This window comes from Homo sapiens, chromosome 7 (assembly GCF_000001405.40).
Source record: "Homo sapiens chromosome 7, GRCh38.p14 Primary Assembly".
Taxonomy (NCBI): Eukaryota; Metazoa; Chordata; class Mammalia; order Primates; family Hominidae; genus Homo; species Homo sapiens.
In genome coordinates this window covers 97,398,816-97,418,603 of record NC_000007.14, presented here as the reverse complement: position 1 = coordinate 97,418,603, position 19,788 = coordinate 97,398,816, and the positions used below count along the sequence as shown (strand labels likewise).

At 39.1% G+C, this 19,788-nt stretch overlaps 1 long non-coding RNA gene across 1 annotated transcript in view, besides 1 other annotated feature; it reads left to right on the top strand.

Annotated features, from left to right (window-relative positions):
- LOC105375416 (uncharacterized) overlaps positions 1 to 19,788 on the top strand; it is a 237,202-nt gene that overhangs the window by 147,128 nt on the left and 70,286 nt on the right. The gene's annotated exons all lie outside the window — the stretch shown is intronic.
- Positions 17,014 to 18,213: an enhancer, noted in NCBI's record as "MED14-independent group 3 enhancer chr7:97029703-97030902 (GRCh37/hg19 assembly coordinates)". NCBI's record gives its function as "activates an origin of replication core promoter dependent on BRD2, BRD4, P300/CBP and CDK7 cofactors, and independent of MED14, by STARR-seq in HCT116 cells {active_cell/tissue: HCT116}" and the evidence as "EXISTENCE:reporter gene assay evidence [ECO:0000049][PMID:35650434]".

Sequence of the window (19,788 nt, the reverse complement as noted above, 5' to 3'; positions counted from 1 at the left end):
AAGTGGCATTGGCAGAAGGAAAGTGCACCATGGATGAGTTCCAGCAGAGCCTCCATAGGGAGTTGTGCATTGTGTGCCATACACAAAGTGCCCAGATGAGGGGGCACATGGGAGCCCAAATCCAGGCCTGCAAGTAGCTCACCAAGCCTTGCCCTGGCACCTGCATGCATCTACCTAGAGAAAGGGGAACATTTTGATTTACCAAAAAGTTGGTCCATTTGTCAAGCTGTACACTCATGGAGTACATCAGCCGGAAAAGGTGCCTTTTATTTTGACCACCCTAAAAAGATGCCTTTCCTAATACTCACTAAAGCATCATATAGGCTAGTGGGTGGTCCAGAACTCTGAGCAGTCAATAAGAACAGCATGGGAGGCAACAGCAGCAGCAGCAGCAGCAGCAGCTGCAAGAATATAGCACAGGGAGTATGTGGCTGGAGAAATACACTGTAAAGAAGACAAGAGAGAGTGCAACAAAACAAGAATGCAGGAGCAAACAATTAATGAATACAGGCTGAGCTGTTGTAAACAAGAGGTTCCATACATTCATCAGCTTTTAGAACAGGAGCTTCCTTTGTTTCTTATGTACCAGCCCTAGGCAGGGGTTCTAGGTCAGAGGCACCTCTGATACAATTTGCCATTGAGGAGTTTTCGGTAGCCAAACCATTAGATGTTAACGTCACCATGGTCATTTCCACCATAATCAGGATTCCTCCTTCCTCTTTCCTGAGGGGGAAAAATATGGAAGACCACATACAGGAGAATTTTATGAGCCAGGCCTGGAAGAATCATACACTTCCATTGGCTGAAACCCAGTTTATGGCCACACCTAACTTAAAGAGAAGCTGGGAAAAGTAGTCTATCTGAGGACCAAGAAAGGACAGACTTTGATTAACAGCTTACAGTCTCTGTCACATGGACTTACAGGGATTCTTAGCGACCGAAAGTAGGAAGATATAAATACAGAGGGAGCTCTCTCCTCTATTCATTTGAAAAGGGTGAGAAGAGGGAAAGACAGTTGATCGGCCATAAAACTATATCCTGACCTCTAAGTGTGAGTCAAGGCTGGTTGATAAAGCTGAATTCATACTTCAGTAATAAACAGGTTTAATACTGCTCTTTGGTGTGACTGGCTGATCAAAACCCCCCTTTTTTTTTTTTTTTTTTTTTTTTTTTTTTTTTTTTTTTGGCGACAGAGTCTCATTCTGTTGCCCAGGCTGGAGTGCAGTGGTGTGATATCAGCTCACTGCAACCTCCGCCTCCGAGGTTCAAGCCATTCTCTTGCCTGAGCCTCCTGCCTGAGCCTCACGGGTAGCTGGGACTACAGGTGCGTGCCACCACGCCCAGCTAATTTTTTGTATTTTTAGTAGAGATGGGGTTTCACCGTGTTAGCCAGGCTGGTCTTAATCTCTTGACCTCATGATCCACCCACCTTGGCCTCCCAAAGTGCTGGGATTACAGGTGTGAGCCACCACACCCGGCTTACTTGTTTTTAAACACTACTCGGGAACTGTATCAGGCAGAATAATGACCCCCGAAGATGTTCCCATCTAATTCCCAGAATCTGTGAATATGTTGCATTACATGGCAAAGGGGAATTAAAGTTGCAGATGGAATTAGTGTTGCTAGCCAGCTGATCTTAAAATAAAAATGTTATCCTGGATTATCCAGGAGGGGTAATCACAACGTTCCATTAAAGTGAAAAACAAATGGAAGGAGATCGGAGTGATGCCCTGTGAAAAGGATTCTAACCCACCATTGCTGGCTTTGAAAATGGAAGAAGGGGCCACAAACTAAGGAATCTCAATGCTGGAAGAGGCAAGGGAGTGTATTCATTCACCTCTGGAGCCACCAGAAAAATGCAGTTCTGCGGACACCTTGGTTGGAGATCCATGTCAGATGTATGACCTACAGCACTGGTAGATAATAAATTCATGTTGTTTTAAGCTGCTAATTTTGTGGCAGTTTCTTAGAGCGGAAATCATAATGGGCCCTTGCTCATATGAAACACATTAAGGGCTGGGTGCGGTGGCTCACATCTGTAATTCCAGCACTTTGGGAGGCCGAGGTGGGCGGAGCACGAGGTCAGGAGATTGAGACCATCCTGGCCAACATGGTGAAACCCCATCTCTACTAAAAATACAAAATTAGCTGGGTGTGGTGGCGCATGCCTGTAGTCCCAGCTACTCAGGAGGCTGAGGCAGGAGAATCGCTTGAACCGGGGAGGCGGAGGTTGCCGTGAGCCGAGATCGGGCCACTGCACTCCCGCCTGGGTGACAGAGCGAGACTCTGTCTCAAAAAATAATAATAAAAATAAAATAAAATAAAACACATTAAAATAGGAAGAAGCCTGCAGAAATGCTGGTCACTAGAAGAGCTGCCCAGAGATGACTGGTCCCATCAGATTCACTCAAACAGTAGCACAAGAAGGGCTACCACTGTCTAAAATGTTTCCTAAACTTGCTGAGAAATCACTACCTGAGAGGAGATTCTTATTGCTTTTTAAACAGAGAGTTTCTGTAGGAGCTAGAAAAACAAGGTCCTCCAGAGTCTAACAGAAATATGATGCTAGGTAACATCAGAACACACCCTGAATTACCCTGAATCCTTTTGACTTCCTTATGTCAAAAATTAGGAGTTTAGAAAAGCCATCAAGGTATGGAATTGTAATCTGCATCAAATCTCTCTTATATATAACGTGAACTCCAACTGAATAAATGCATCTATGCCTCCAACTCCAAAACCTTCCATTCTACTGCCCACTAAAGAATCTCTGAGCAGGTGTACTTCTTGCTGTGTGAGATGGAGTCTCACTGTGTCGCCCAGGCTGGAGTGCAGTGGTGCGATCTTGGCCCACTGCAAGCTCCGCCGCCCAGGTTCACGCCATTCTCCTAGTTCAGCCTCCCGAGTAGCTGGGACTACAGGCGCCCGCCATCACGCCCAGCTAATTTTTTGTATTTTGTAGTAGAGACGGGGTTTCACCATGTTAGCCAGGATGGTCTTGATCTGCTGACCTTGTGATCCACCTGCCTCGGCCTCCCAAAGTGCTGGGATTACAGGCGTGAGCCACCGCACCCAGCCACCTCTTGCTGTTTTACAGCCTCATTTCTTCTTTTCACTGTGGGAAGTCTTCCTCTTTACTTCAGAGTGTTCCATTTTTTTCTACCTGGGAGAAAGAAGTTAGCAGATTTCACAGATCTAGTGTTTCAGGATAGTAGTGTCTGCATGTTGCCCCGAGTATTAACAATACGTTTTAATCAGTGCTGAACTTTTGGAAGAAAGGTACTAGTTAATAAAGACAGAACATATAAATATATTCCAGTTTACTAGCACAAATGATAATAAACTAGAAATATATCAATAGAGTGAAAAGCTGGAGAACTTCATTTGAAATTCTGTTATGCTCTTTTTGGAAAATTAATAAGAGCCAGAGAACTGAATAACTAAAGTCTTTTGTGTTGCCACTCATCTCTCAAACTGACAGAACATCCTATTTTTTCATAAAGAACCTTGATATGGCTAGAGTTTGACTTGATTCCATCAAGAAATAATAAACTGTGCAGCAAAGAGAAAAATTATTACAGGCAAGGTTGAGCCTAGTTTTTGTGCAACAATGTTCACACCTAAGGAGAGCACAACTGGAAGATAATTTGATTTTCTTTCATGATTATAAAGTATTTTGTTCCCAGAAAACTTTGTCTTGAGGCAGTACTGCCACATTCATGAAAGGTTCCAGCTCAACTGATTTCTTTGTGGCATAAAGTAAGGTGAGAGCTGACTTTTGCAACATGGTCCATTTTGAATTGAGAGCTAGTCTGTCCAAAGCTTAAGGACAAGTAATTAATTTTAAAGTAAAGTGCTAAGGGCATGTATGTGAGAGCAAAGTTCACATAAGGAAATGATAACATTAAGACCAATTCTGAAAATAGTTAACTTTTCCATTTTTATGGCATATTTTCTACAAAAATGTTAAGGTTCTTCAAGCATCAGTAAAAGGCTAGAGTCCTCTTTGCTAGCTTTGTAAAAAGTATGGCCAATGCAGTAAAGGAAGAATAAAGATGCAGGTCCATTTGCATTACTACCATGTTTGCAACATAGAATAGAAAATTAGAGACTGGTTTTGGTATGTGCTTTGGACCTACCTCATTGCTTTATAACCCCCATATGTATATATATAGCTCTTCATTTCTCCAGGCCACAGCTGCCTGAGAGGTAGAAAAAATAAATCACATCACACTGTGGTCATGTCAAGTCATCTCATGTCTTGTAATCCTCATTTGTGAAATCACTAAAACCTCAGTCACACAAATATTTTCCTTCCAGTTCAAAGATTGCAATTTCTCTTCCAAACCATGCCCAGCCATAATAGTCTTCCTTTGGAATAAGTGGCAGGCCCTGTGGGTTAGCTAACATAACAAGCTCTGTTTCCAACGCTTCTTGGCTGCCCCTGCTATAGATGTAGATCCAAAACACTAGAATTTCTGGACTGCCTTTGAGCTGGCCTGACTGTGCAACACAGTTCTGACCAATGATGTGTAAGGGAAGTCTTCTGGTACTGCAGATCCCCGTTCTCCTTCTTCCTGCCTGGGACATGGGGTGTCTGGAGGTGTAATAGCCATCTTGTGCCCATGCTGGGTAGAGCAGACAGATTCTAAGATGGAACCATAATTCCCACCACCTGGTCTTCGTGCCCTCATGTATTCTCCCCTTGAGTATTGGCAGGATCCGTGACTTGCTTCTAACCAATAGAATAGTAAACGTGTTAAGACAGTACTCTTGTGATTAAGATTGTAACATCTGTTTCACTGAGGGACTCTCTCTTGTTAGCTTTGACAAAGCAAGAGGCCATGTTGGGGAGGTACATGTGGCAAGGAATATAGGGCAGCGTCTGTCCAAGAACCAACTGAAAACTCTGAGTTGTGTCCAGCCAAGAGCCAGCAAAAAACAGAGGCCCTCAGTCCAATCAATGCTCCACGAGGAATGGTACGCCTGCAGTAACCATGACAGCTTGGAAGCAGCTCTTTCCCATTAAGCTTTGGATGAAGACCCAGCCTGGCCAACATCTTGACTGCAGTCCTGCAGAGGACCCTGTTAAACTACATTTGGAGCCTTCTGACCCACAGAAAGTGAGATAATAAATTTGAGTTGTTTTAAGCTGTTAAATGTGTTGTTGGTGATCAGAAACTGACATAGGGTGCTTTGATATGCTGAATTGAAGAAGAAGCCTCAAGATTTCTCTGACCTTCCTCTCTTCCCATCTCTCAATTCTCTCACTCTCAAAACATGGCATGAAGTTTCCCCGACTGCCTAGTCTGGACCCATCAAAGAAGAAAACAATTACCTCTGGACCCTTCCCCAAGTTCTCATAAATTGAACTGATATGCAGGGGGAGAAGGACTGAAGTCTGTCAATACAGCTGGAAAGAATTTTTTCACAAACCATTGTCTGCTCTGTGTGCCCAACAGACTTTGTACTAGGCCATTGTATGTTCTTCAAGCCCATTGAATTTCCCTAAAAATAATTTACTAGCCCCCTTAAAATCATCCACATTTTCCAATCTCCTTTTCCCCTAAGAAGAAGTAAGGTATATAACCATCTGTACCCCATTGTGTGGTGGGGTCATCACTCTATGATTCCCCCCATGCACTCTAATAAATTTGTATGCCATTTTTCCTATTAATCTGCCTTTTGTCAGTTGATTTTTCAGCAAATCTTCAGAGGACAAAGGGGAAGTTTTCCCTTGGCCCCTACAGTGTGGTGATGCTGTTAGACAGCAATAGGTACTTTATTCACTAGAGACGACGGAGCAGATAGAGGGCCCTGCCTTCTTTAACGCACTTACACTGGACTGTAGCTCCAGCTCTGGACGGCCCATTTATGGATTCTTACTGAGTAAGATAAACAAACCCTTGATGTGCATAAGCTCTTTAGTTTGTCAAGTTTTCTGTTACTTGGAGTTGAAAGTAATCCTTACTGGTATAAGGTGGCTTGTATCTCAAATTGTGCCCCCAACTCTGAGCACAATCTCCCTCTTATAATTATAACTCTTTGATTTGAAAGGCTGTAGATGCTATTGCTATAGCTGTCTCAAGACACATCACCCCAGATAGTATGGTTCTAACTCTTCTTTTGCTTTAAAAATTGTTCAGATGAGTTAGGGGAAGGGCTTTCCTTCATCCAATGATGAAGAGAAAGGAAGAAGAGAATGAGGGAGAAAAAAATTAAAAGAGAGGAAAATAAAAAGAAAAAGAAAAATGAAAGGACACAGGGAAAGATAATTTTTTTAGCATCCAAACTACTGGTCTAGACCATTTGTAAATATGGTTATAACATATCACATGTTACAATTTTAATCAGACTGATATTTTTAGTTATGACATTTTTCCTTTCTATCCCAACTCCAAAACTTGACACAAAGCCCTCATAGAATATTCTTTTCTACCCACCTACTGCATATTGCAAGTCTTTATCACTGCTAACATGGTAAGTCTTTTCTAACCTTTGAGAGATCAGAGCTCTACTTTTTCTCAGTGTCTTGAATAGTTAGTTCTGAAAATTTCCCGCCAGGTCCAGTCACCTGAGTCTTTTCCAAGTCTCATGGAAACTGCAGGCTATTAGGTCCCACTTCCCTCTTGGAATATTGACTACCTAAGTAAGCCATTGGTGTGAATTATCATGTGCAATACTGAGTCAAGTAAGTATGGTAAGTATTATGTCCATTATAGACATAAGGGAACTGAAGGGCAGAATCATAAAATTTTAGCTGTAGAAGTGACTTTTAAGAGACTATGCTATTCTTACTATACAATAGAGAAGTGTTATGGAATAGAATGAATTATGAATAAGACTTGGCTTCTTGTAAGGACTCCAGCATTTATAACCCTGTAACCTTGGTAAACCCGTTACCCTTACTGAGAGTTCCTATCTGAAGGGTGTAACTTCTTGCTTATTCCATAGTGTAGTGGTGTGGACTAAAAGGATTAATCAATATGACCAGATTCTGAAAGCCTCATAACTCTCCATTAACTAAAGAACAAGACCCACACATTCTTAAAGACTCATTTTATCTCAAAGCTGTACACTACGCCATGATTAATGAGACTGCATAAAAACACAAAATGCTTTCAAATGGGAGTTATACCAATAATATTTTAAAATGCAAATTTCACAAGCATAAACATTTTGAACAACATTTTTAGTTTTTATGTTTTGGGTTTTTTTATTGCCTTGATATTATAGATTTGTTTCATCTTCCAAAGATATCTGGTCTGTATATTGTAGTTTTTACTCTGTAATGATTAGCTCTGTTTTATAAAGAAATAGACTAATTAGTGTTGGTTCACAGCTGACTTCAAACAACAGTCATGTAATTTTTTAGAACATTGGACATACATTTTATTTAGGCTCTTTCATTAAAATATCTGTCATGGAGGCCGGGCACGGTGGCTCACGCCTGTAATCCCAGCACTTGGGGAGGCCGGGACGGGCGGATCATGGTCAGGAGATTGAGACCATCCTGGCTAACATGGTGAAACCCCGTCTCTACTGAAAATACAAAAAAGTTTGCCGGGCATGGTGGCGGGCGCCTGTAGTCCCAGCTACTCGGGAGGCTGAGGCAGGAGAATGGCGTGAACCCGGGAGGCGGAGCTTGCAGTGAGCCGAGATTGCGACACTGCACTCCAGCCTGGGCCACTGCGCAAGACTCTGTCTCAAAAAAAAAAAAAAATCTGTCATGAATATATGACATTTTAGTAGTGGGAAAATTGCTCACATATCAAATATTTTAAAATAAAAAGACAATAGTCAAAACTAGACAGCTTGAGACTAATTTATGAATAATAGTCAAAAATCAATAATTTTAAACATTTGTCTCCTCTTAGGCTTCAAGCAAGGAATGTCTCATGGCAACTGATGTCTGCAGATATTCACCATGGTTTCTGACTGTAGTGATTTACCTCTTGGTGAATTCCTAACAATATAGGCAAACATGAGGAAAGGTAGTCTAAAAACCCTTCATTCAGGATTACCAATGCCTCCATTATTAAAAAGGTTTCAAATTATTGTAAGATTTTACTTTATATCAGTAGCCATGGGATATACTAAAAAATGAGCTTAGTTATTCTTGTAAGCAATGGATAAATATAGGGATTGTTAGGGTCCTTTCCCCGCAGGAGCTCATCCTCGAGTAAGCAAAATAAATATGAAGTTTCCTCAATTCTACTGAACTCTGAAACCAGCTTACTCTTTCTATTTGAGTGATTGCTAAAGTCCTAATTTAAAATTCTCATTTTTATCATTGCTTTAAAGTTAAAACTTCTGCGGGCAAGGGTTGGGGGTAGGGAGTACAAAAGTTTAAAAAAAAGTAATTTATGTTTCCTGACTTCCCAATTTTTCCAGAAAATCCATAAATCAACATTCCTATTCCTCCTCAGTGTTAACCAATTCATTACTAGATGTCATAATCCTCAGAAGGGAACAATGCATGAAATCTAGCAAAATGACTGCCCCTGTTTCTGCAGTGCTGTGGTGTGAAAACCTAGACAGACATCAGAGGCACGATGGGCTTGTCCTGGAGATTGCCTTCCCCCAGGTGACTGGGTACTATTAGGATGAAGAGCTAGACAAGGGCACTGCTGCATCCTTTGGCTCTTCCTAACTATTTAACCAATTTGCACCCACTAAGAGATGCTGTTTGATGGAACATTGGATCAAAAGTGTTGAAAATTTCAAAAATAGAGACATCAGATAGGTAATTAACCAAGATAAAGCATGTAAGAAAATTAACACAGTACCTTGCACATTAACCACTGAGTACATTTAACTATTTGGGTTTGGTTTTTTTTTTTTTAATGACAAGAGTAGTGTTTTCCTTTAACTATTCCTGCTGCTTTATCTCCAGTTAAAAGTTGTCTGGCATGTAGGCCATGAAGCATTTATCATTTCCAAAATCCACAATTTGTAGACATTTCACCTGCTCCTTGTTCAATCTAGATCTCAGCACAAGTTTCCACCATGTTTTGACATATGCTTATTTGCCCTGCCACTAAAAATGAGATCAACAACGGAATGGCTACATTCAAAGAAATGCTTACTGTTAAAAGTAAAATCAAAATAATATTCCTGAGTAGCAATTTTCTCTGGCATCTAATTCTTGGGATTGTGACATGTAATTTGAGATGGCAGAAGAGGATTTCTATTACCTTCATAAGCTACTGGGCATTTACGAAGAAAATAGTGCAAAGAAAATGAAATTTTGCATATAAAACTAGTACATCGCCTAGCAATTTTACATGCCAAAGAACTATCATTTACATGTACTTGTGAATTATTTTATTGTAGAACTGTTTGAAGATACCAGTAATGTTGAAAATGAAAAATAGATGTTTATGAGAACTGATCTGAAACCAAAGGTCACATCATTATTAGAAATCTAAAAAGTGAACTCTGTACTTCTTGGTTCATTTTCTGTATGATTTTAAAAACACAAAGAGGAAAATCTTGGTCACAGGCAGCCGATGTTTTTTTTTTTAATTTTTTAGGAAACAATGTTTGTTTGCTTGTTTGTTCATTTGTTTTAGACTTTGGCTGGCCACAATCTTGATAAATGGTTGCTGCTGGTTTTTATGTTTTCTTGATGACCCTATTTCTCAAGTAATTTTAGATCTTTAGAATTACTGTTGTTTTTCTAAGACTGATTCATACTTTCCCCTTCATCCCCTCTCCCTCTATTTTAGATGTAATTCAGATGTCAATACTCTCTCTTTGAAAGAGATGATTGATAAGTATGTTCCTGTTGGATTCTTTGCAGGAACAAAGTAAGAACTTACAATGAAATGAAAAATGAGTTAAAACTGTTGAAAGTGTAATTTTAAAAACATTTTTGGCTTTGTACAAAGAAGGCTATTTTTATTCATGACAGAAAAAAAAAAAATCTTTGCTAGAAAAAGCGATGTCCTTGCTTTAGGGCAGAAAATAGCCCCAGCGAAAAGTCAAGTCCACTCCTCATTAAGCTTCAGCCCTGGCTTCCTTCCCCTTACTTTTCCCTTGTACCAGGTGGGTCAAATCCTGGAAATCTCTATTTTATATTGTTGTTAAAGCTGCTATTCTAAATATTGTTTAAAATATAATAAGATATAAGGAAGAAGCTCTTTCAGAAGCAAGGTGGATTATAAAAACCGCAAAACAAATTATGCATCCATAAAATGAAAAACATGAAGTTGGGTACTTACTCAAGGTGGGATAGATAACTAGGGCTATGATAAATAGCTGTGGATCAATTCCCTTCAACAGTTCAGAGTCTGGAACAGGTGTTGGCATGTTTTTTCTGTAAAGGTCCACATAGAAAATATTTTTGAAACTTGTGGGTCATATGATCTCTGTTGCATTTGAATATTTCTGCTTTTGTACTTTGTAACACAAAAACTGCCATAGACAATAAATAAATGAATATGGCTGTATTCCAATAATGTTTCACTTATAGACACTGAAATTTGAATTTCATATCATTTTCACGTATCATGAAATATATTATTTGTTGGCATTTTCAACCATTTAAAAATGTAAAAACCTTTCTTAGCTCAGTGGTTGTGCAACAACAGGTAACAGGTCATAGTTTACCAGCCCCCTAGTCTAGGGAGTTAGAAAGGGACCTTTATTTCATAATAAAATGTCAGAGCTAAAATTACAACTAGAAGGGTAATACTTTGTTAAGAGTGGAAAATAATGTTTTTCTTCTTATGATATTTCAAAATGTGTTGCAAGAGCTTTTGGTTCTGTCATTTGCAGACATTTTACATGATAGAATTTCTTAGGCACACAAGGAGGTCAATTATAGGGGAGTCAGAGAAGATGGTAGATGATTTCAGCTGAGGAGGGGCTAGACGGGCGTTGCCTTCAATTAACACTAGAGAGGAACAGCTTCTCGTATTTCCAATGGAGAAAAGTTGGCATTGGAGAATACTGAGGCCAAACTATTGGCAGGATTTTTTAATTCCAACTCTAAGATTCCAGAGCTAAGGACAAGTCCTTAAGGGTCCGACTCCAAGATACATATTTCAAGCGTGTTAGACAATTATATTCTAATGAAGTCTGGTAGGTAATTAGGGCTAAATTGAACAATGAGTGATAGTCAAGAATTTGGGAGAAAGGAAACCATTTTTTATCCTAGACTTTGTTGAAAAGCTTGCAATTAATGTAAATTCTTAAAGTTTAATTCTGAAACTAGTTATTAAATATAGGTGTATCAGTGAAGTATTTGATTTAAAGAAAGAAAAGCTATTTCATCCTCTCTTCTTCTGTTCTTTCCCCTTCCATACTCCCTCCCCCTTTTCTTTTCCTCTTCTTCCCTCTCTTTCTCTCCTTCCCCACTTTTCCTTCCCTCCTTCTCTCTCCTTTTTTCCCCTCTTTCTTCTTCTTTTCCCCCTATTCCCCCAAAATGTAAGCCACTGAAATCTGGTAGTTTATAAAGTGGTTCCTAAACCCAGATAATCAACACAATCACTTAGAGGCATCTTTTAAAAAGATAAATGTCTTGGTCCCAAACCAACTGAATCAGAATCTGGAGGAGTGGCATGAGATCATTTGTTGATCTGGATTTTTTTTTTTTTTTTTTGACAAGCTCTTCTGGAGATTCTGATGGACATCCAGATTTAGGAAGCACAGCACTAGAGCAGTGGTTCTCAGACTTGAGTGGACATCAGAATGATCTGAAGAGCCTATCAAAGCATAGAGGGCTGAGCCCCACTCCAATAGGTTCTGATCTATGGATTTCGCATGGGGTCTAAGAATATGCATTTCTAAACAAAATTCCTAGAGGCTACTGGTTCTGCTTGTCTAAAGACCACACACTTGCTGAAAACAACTGCTTTAGGCCATATAATTAAGGCTCCTACTCTCTCTAGTTGGCCTCATATCCTTAGTTCACTCAAGCTTTGAACTACTTATTAAAAGTGACTTCTGCAATCCTAAACATGTAAGACATTATACAGCATCAAGCCCACCAAATAGTCCCTAAAGATAAACTCTATAAGCTGGACTATTGTTGTTAAAACATTTAATTAACAAAAGATACATTTAGCAAAGCACCATGACACCATGTAAATGACTCTCATGGCCAGTCTGATCCACAGCTCTCTGAACTGGGATGTGTTCTTTGGCATCTGCTCCTTTGTCAGTATTTGGATTCTGTCCCTCGTGAAGAGGGTGTTGAGGTTTTTCTGAATCAAAGGGTGGTGACAAATTAGACTCAATTTTATTTCTGTACAAATACAAGACCACAATGACACAAATGATTTCAGAAAAAAATATGTCTCAATATGGGTCATTATTTTTATAACTTATAATGATTCTTTGGGATCACTAAGATCTCTCACCCCAATCTCCCCCTACTTGAATTAATGTTGAAAACAGTCTCCAGAATTTGAAATGTAACGGCTTCTTGTTTGAACCGGCTATTGTTTCTGTGTCAAACGTGGGAGGTTTATTGCCAGCAGGAGCTGGAGGAGTCTCCCATAACAACTCCACTGGGAAAATGATAAGGAAACTAAGGCTTAGAGAGATTAACTCTCCAAGGATACATAACCAGGAATTTCTGGATCAGGATTCTTATATGCAATTCTATTAGGCTGTGTCATGCCTCTTTGACAGATAAACTCAAAGCTCTTTAACAACCACAGAATCTGCTGAAAATAATAACAAGCCAAAATAGAACTACAAAGTGACACAGATGCTTCTTGATTTCTTCTTAGAACTAGCCTTTTGTTTCAATTAGATTGATTTTTTAGGACCCACACACATACATCAACATACTTATTTTTATGAATATTTTATAAATAGATTCTGATTTTCAGTTTTGGATGTGTAAAACTTCATTGCACAGGCAATCAAGAAAATCAACAAGCTCTGTAGAAATATCTTCATAGAACAAGCTGATTCTTTTCCCTACTGAGCTATATTTACCATGGAGAGACATTTCTGTGTATGTCACGATCCTCTGCCAAAATGTCAACTTATCCTCTGCATCCAAAAGTTCATAAAAATAGGAAAAGCTCCAAAAAACAAGATATGGGAACAGCTGGTGGTAGGACAGAGGGAGTTAGAGGGCATGCACTCAGGAGGACTAACCAGGTGCATAGGGAGTAGGCGTAATGCACTCAGAGTCTCCCAAAAGAAGAGCCACGGTCAGATTCTTCACACACCCCAGCTAATCCATGAAAAGCAGCAGCAGTGCAAGGATGTTTTCATCTCATGCCTTCTGTGTATGGCTATCTGAGTGACTGGCAATATTAAAATAGCTTATTTCACATTGACAGCTTCCAGAATTTGTAAGCAAGCTCCATTTGCTAGAAACACGACTCTGGGTACCAACAGGTTTGTCTGGCTTAGGATAAGAATTCAGTACTTGCCTATAAATATTTATCTTTGAAGAGGTTTTTTAATGTTTAATGTTTCCATAAGCTTTTGCTTTGGAAAAAAAAGGTTTTACTGAGTGCTTATTATGTTCTTACGACATTGTACTTGGGAGGGAAAAATTTTGATGTCTGGATCCTACCTTAAGGGTTCTAGTTTAATTAATAGAAAGTGGGCCCAGTTGTGAGCATTTTTAGAGTCCCCAGGCAATTCATGGAGCCACTGCTCAAGCTTCAAAATTTATTGTTGCCTGTGTCCCACCCCTAGTGGTTATAATTTATTAGTCTAGGGTGTGACCTAGATGTTGGGATTCTCCCCAGTCTTGCAATAGACTTGGGTCTCTGCAGCTCTCAAACTTCAATATGTGTCAAAATCACCTGAAGAGCTTGTTAAATGACAGCTTCCTAAATACCACTCCCAGTGATTTTGATTCACTACGTCCAAGTGGGATCAAATTTACATTTTTTATAAACCAACAGGTTATGGTGATGCTGCTGGTACAGAGATCACAGGAAAATAGAATTTTCTCCCCAGGAACATTTGCCTGAATCTGAACACATTTTTGGGTGTCCCAACTCAGAGGATTGGTGGGTACTACTGGCATCTAGTGGGTAGAGGTTAGATGTGTTGCTAAACACCCTACAATGCACAGTACAGCCCCGCCACCCGCCACCTGGCAGCAATTATCTGGTCCAAAATGTTGATAGTGTTAAGGTTGAAAACGCTGTTTTAGTCTAGACTCTAGAAAGATGCTTAGGTCATTATAAACCAAGGAATTTGAATAAAATTCAAAGCAAAAATCCAGAACTCTTCAATTAGTATCACCTTTAAAACTAAGATACAGAACCAACTGCATGGCTTAGTTATACATATAGATTGGTAAAACATTGTGGTTTCTGTTGCTAAACAGAAGACTGACAGTCTTTTGTAGATATAGAAAACATTTGGCACAATTTTTGCACAGCATGAATCGTTATTATAGTATTTAGTTAGCTTCCAGGGGGTTGCAAATTCTCTGTGAGTTTGCCTTGAAACCCTTTGAATAAAAATCTAAACTTATTAAGAAAACCGTTAGAGCATAATTTTTGTTTAAAAGTAGTCAATGGGACAGGTGTGGTGGCTCACTCCTGTAATCCCAGCACTTTGGGAGGCCAAGGAGGGGGCGGATCATGAGGTCAGGAGTTCGAGACCAGACTGGCCAACATGTTGAAACCCCGTCTCTACTAAAAATACAAAAAATTAGCCGGGCATGGTGGCGCATGCCTGTAATCCCAACTACTTGGGAGGCTGAGGCAGGAGAATCACTGGAACCTGGGAGGTGGAGGTTGCAGTGAGCAGAGATCGTGCCATTGCACCCCGGCCTGAGCGAGAGAGCAAGTCCAATCTCAAAAAAAAAAAAAAAAAAAAAAAAAAAAGTCAAAATAGGATCTCATGAAAAAGCTAGTGTTCACAGTGTATTTTAAATGAAATCTGCATTACTTTTAAACATGTCTATTTCATAAAGTAAGATCCCTAAGTATTTACCCAACAGTTTTAAGTTCTATGCTTAAGAGATCTGCTAGTCAATAAGAATAGGGGAATGTTAAGAAAATAAAGACCTGTCTTCAGTAGGTTTAAAGCTAAGGTATGTGTGTATGTCTCTGTAATGTGAGACAGTAAGTATGAGTGCTTTGAGGATGTAAAATATGTCCTGGAAATGTAGATACTTTTGAGAGCATCACTGGTGGACAGCCTGCTTCATGGGAAAGGTGAAATCAGACTGAATCCAAAACAGTATGAAAAAAAATCTAGAAATGAGATGACAAGTTTGGAGGTAATAGGTTGAGATGGAAACCTAGATGTCCCCAACAGGGAGAGCATGATCCTGAGGTGAGCATCTGCTTTTCCCAGGGGCTTATGCACTGGGCCAGGAGCCAGTCTTAGGACATGTCCCCTGCAGTGGAAGGAGGCAAGTAGGAGAGCAACTCTGCAGAATTCAGGGAACACGGGGAGATTCTGACACTCTGTTGCCAACTTTGTCATCTCAACCAAGACTCAGAGATGGATGACTGAGGGGAGGCAACAAAAGTAAGTCTGGATCTGACATGTCTATTGAGGAAATCCAAGAAACTACAAAACACAAGTTCAGTGACAGGGCTAAAATTTCAGAACAAGTTGAAATTAGGAAGAATGTTGGTAGCCCTCTCCCACCATCCACCTAATGCTTATCCTCTCTGACAAGTGTGCCATTTAAGGTTGTGTTCCAGTAAGTGTCATAATTATACATCTATTTTAGTGATAGCAAACATCAGCAAAGGCTGATATTTCTCCATGGATTTTCTTGTTTTCCATCTCTCTATTGAGCTCTATTCCAAATTGTAGCTATCTTTTAGATACTGCATTGGTGAAGAAATATTAGTTCTTATAACCTCTGGTTCCATCGGAAATAAAATACAAAGATACAATTAGATGAAATCTGTTGGCGTGATTGTCTGTTTGTCTAGAGTGAGTGAGCAGGGAGAGTGTTACCCTACTGCACTTAGAAGCCTTGTGATTGTTAGCATTTAAATAGTAGTGGGACCTTTTCTCTTCATTATGATACAATTTTAAAAAATATCTATTGACTGCTTCAGGTGATCATATGAATACATTCCTCTAGTGTTCCAATAATGTGAGTCAGGTTAGAGGAAAATTCTTTGTTGTTATCAAATTATTGCTTAACAATAAAATTTGCAGTGAAAGGCTCCTGCGTGATATCTATTCTTGTTTTCTCTGAGGATAAAAAGCCAAATAAGTGCATTCTTTGAAATTTACTGGCAAGGTTCTGAAACTCATTTGAGTTACAAAATCTCAGAAGCATTTGGTTGTTTTAAAAATCAACAAAGGACTTAAGCTAGTCACCTGGAAATTAATAAATACCCCTCTGCGTTTCTCCATGACTCTCGATGAGAGTTGGTCTTTCTACCATTTCCATAAGGTAGACAAGCCCTTCTGCCTTGCTCTTTGGATTTAAGATAATACCACAAATAAGGTTTTCACTGTGCGGATGAAGGAAAAGGAAAGAGCATTTTACCCTCCTCTCCCTCCCTCCAAGTATTTGCTGAGCAAGATACTGCACTAGGCACTGCAGAGACGTAAAGGTGAATTAGATACTTCAAGAAGTTCACCACTGGGGAAAGTAGACATTCCTGTTTCAGGCTTTGACCAAATCCTGGTTGACTTCCTTCTCTAGAAGGAATTTGGGTCTTTGGAAACTAGTCAGTGAGGTTGTAGAAACTGACAGAGATGGGAGGATTTTTCTGCTGCCCTTCATTCTCACTTCAAAATAATGTTGAAACACTTTCAGGTTTCCTCATTGTTTTTAGCTCTTTGTGGGGTTTTCTTTCTTTCACATGTCTCAACAGCTCTGGGCTCAGAGACTGGGAATGAGAGTCAGAAAGAGGCACCATAACACTTCCCTCTGGTGGGGAGGCACGGCCCTGGGAACAGTCCACCATATTACCTCGGTTAACTGGGTTCACTAGGGAGGTCTCTGGCTGCACACTGAAAGACAACATAATTCTAAGACAGAGGTACCTCTCTCAGGAATTTTGTCAACACTACATGTCCGTTTCTTGCATCAATGCAAAGATTTTATTCTGGGAAAGATGCCAATTTTTTTTTGGCTTTCTGTGTAGATGATAGCCACAATTTCTAAACCTATTTGTTTCCCACAAGAGGCAAAAAGAGCCCATAATTATTTGACGAATGTCAGAAGGTGTGTTTAGCCCCTTATTCAAGCCATAAGGGGGTCTCCTGAACCAACGGCCTGCAAAGCTCCTTTATTCAAAGTGGATCATGCTCCAACCTCTGTTTGTGTGCCAGGTTGATCTGTAGCAAACTATCATGGTCCACAAATCAGTGGCTAAATGTTTAATGTCTAGGATAGGCACACAACCAAAGTCATGGGAAGCATACCTCAGAAAAAAGTTAAACTTGATCTTCAGTGGCATCTTTTTCAGCATATATATAATCCCAGTTGAGTTTCTCCTAAAACCTCCTGTGGATACCCACATAATGTGAACAAGGTTTTAAAAGAATCAGGATGTAAATACTGGGAACATGTAAATTCAAGACCACAGATTACAGCTTTTAGATATCCTCCATGTGAACCTAGAGATTCATAGTAAACAAAAAAGCATAAGATACAACGTTTTAAATATGTGGAACAATAAACAAAACCATTCTTAGGATAGCTATTTTTTTAAACTATACATACAGAGTTAAAATAGATTACTACTTAAATGCATATATTTAATATATTTTTTCATGCTACACTGATAAAATATCCCAGAAACTCAAAGTTTAAAGCCATTGAGATTTCTACTAGTAACTCAAATTGTTGCCAAGTCATTGTGAGTTAGCTGAAGTGTCAGAAAACATGTGCATTTTAGAAATATTTTGGGTTTTCACCAGGCGGAGCTTGCAGTGAGCTGAGATCACGCCACTGCATTCCAGCCTGGGCGACAGAGCGAGACTCCGTCTCAAAATAAATAAATAACTAAGTAAAAATAAAGAAATATTTTGGGCTTTGTTTGTGTTCTCTCGTTTAGGAAACAGCACTTTTAATGTAGCAAAAATGTTCACTAGTTTCTTTTTTTTTTTTTGAGACGGAGTCTCGCTCTGTCACCCAGACTGGAGTGCAGTGGCATGATCTTGGCTCACTGCAACCTCCATCCACCTCCCAGGTTCAAGCGATTCTCCTGCCTCAGCCTCCCAAGTAGCTGGGATTATAGGCACGTGCCACTGTGCCTGGCTAATTTTGTTGTGTTTTTACTAGAGACGGGGTTTCACCATGTTGGCCAGGCTGGTCTCGAACTCCTGACCTTGTGATCAGCCCAGCTCGGACTCCCAAAGTGCTGGAATTACAGGAGTGAGCCACCGTCCCCAGCCACTAGTTTCTTATAATATAATCATGGTTGGAAGGTTTTGGCCTGGACATAGTGAGTTAACAAAAACCTGTTCTATTATCCTTCAGACAACTGTGCCTTACCTCTTCTGGTCGTGCTGTATATGTCTTTGGGCCTGATTTTCCTGTGGGTATAAAGTAAACTTTCCTTCCTTTTCCTCATACATTCTATTTACAAATAAAAAATAAACTCCTTCATAATTAATTGGCAACAATGTCCAAGTAAGAGTTAAGCATATGAAGGATTTAGGGGTTATTTCTCCTACTTCGTGTTACCCAGGCAAAACATATTTGTGGGTTTTGATAACTATGATGAAACTACAGCAAGGCTATTGTAGTGTATGTGTTAGTTCAAGTATATATCCCATTTTGAATTTTTAAAATCAGGGAGCTATCTTCCTGGAATGGTCACAGTACAAATACTGTTGCCTTAAATTTTTTCATTTAACCTTCACCAAAAAGCATTATGTAGGGCTAGGATATTGGGAAAGTCAGGGTTTGTTATATACTTCATCAGTCATCCAAACTTCAGTGAGTTCCCTTAAGTGTTTGCCATTGGGTAGGAAATAGTGAAGATTTATTCTAAACCTGAAAAGTAAAAAAAAAAAAAAAATCATGATTATAAGGGAATATACATGATACATCATGAGGTAAGTCACTAGGAGCAGAAAGCTTATTAAATCTCCAGTTGAAAATGTATCTATGTTGGAAAAAAACAGACATTCTGATTTTCAGTTTTTCCCTCAGGCACAAGCTTAGTCACAGCTTCGTCTGTAAAGATACTGGTCATATTCATTGTATTTTGGAAAAGTACAGGTGTACATAAAGCCACTATATCTTTAAAATATATAAATAAGTAACTTTTCCTGACAAGTTTTAAAATGTAAGACATGTGATAGAACAGTTTTCCTCAATTATATGATTTTATTTTCCACAGCGGTACAGTTGTATAGTTTTCCCTGTTGTCATTTTACACATCAGTTCTGTTGACACTTGCCACCATTCTTTTTTTCTAGAGTTCCAGGAATTTGCCTTTGGAACTTTTTCCTAACTCAGTCTTCAGATACAACTTTATTACATTTTATTTTTAAATTATTATATATTATTATTAAAATACTACAAAAAATTATTACATATTACATTATTAAGGTAAAAAGAATTCAGCCAACAGAACATTCTTTAACTGTATCAATCCAATTAATTAAATTTAATAAATTCATTCTATACATTAAATTGCAAAAAAATGCTAAAACAAAAATTGCAAATTATTTTATTATTAGATTAGATTATTGAACTTAGTTGTACACTCCAACATACGTGGAAAAAAATAGACATTTAAAGGTAGTGAATGAAAAGATGGGAAATTATGCTTTAGGCAAATACCAACCAAAGCATTGTGGTATAGGCAAAATGCTATCAAACAAAATAGACTTTAAGACAAAGGTAGCATGAAAATA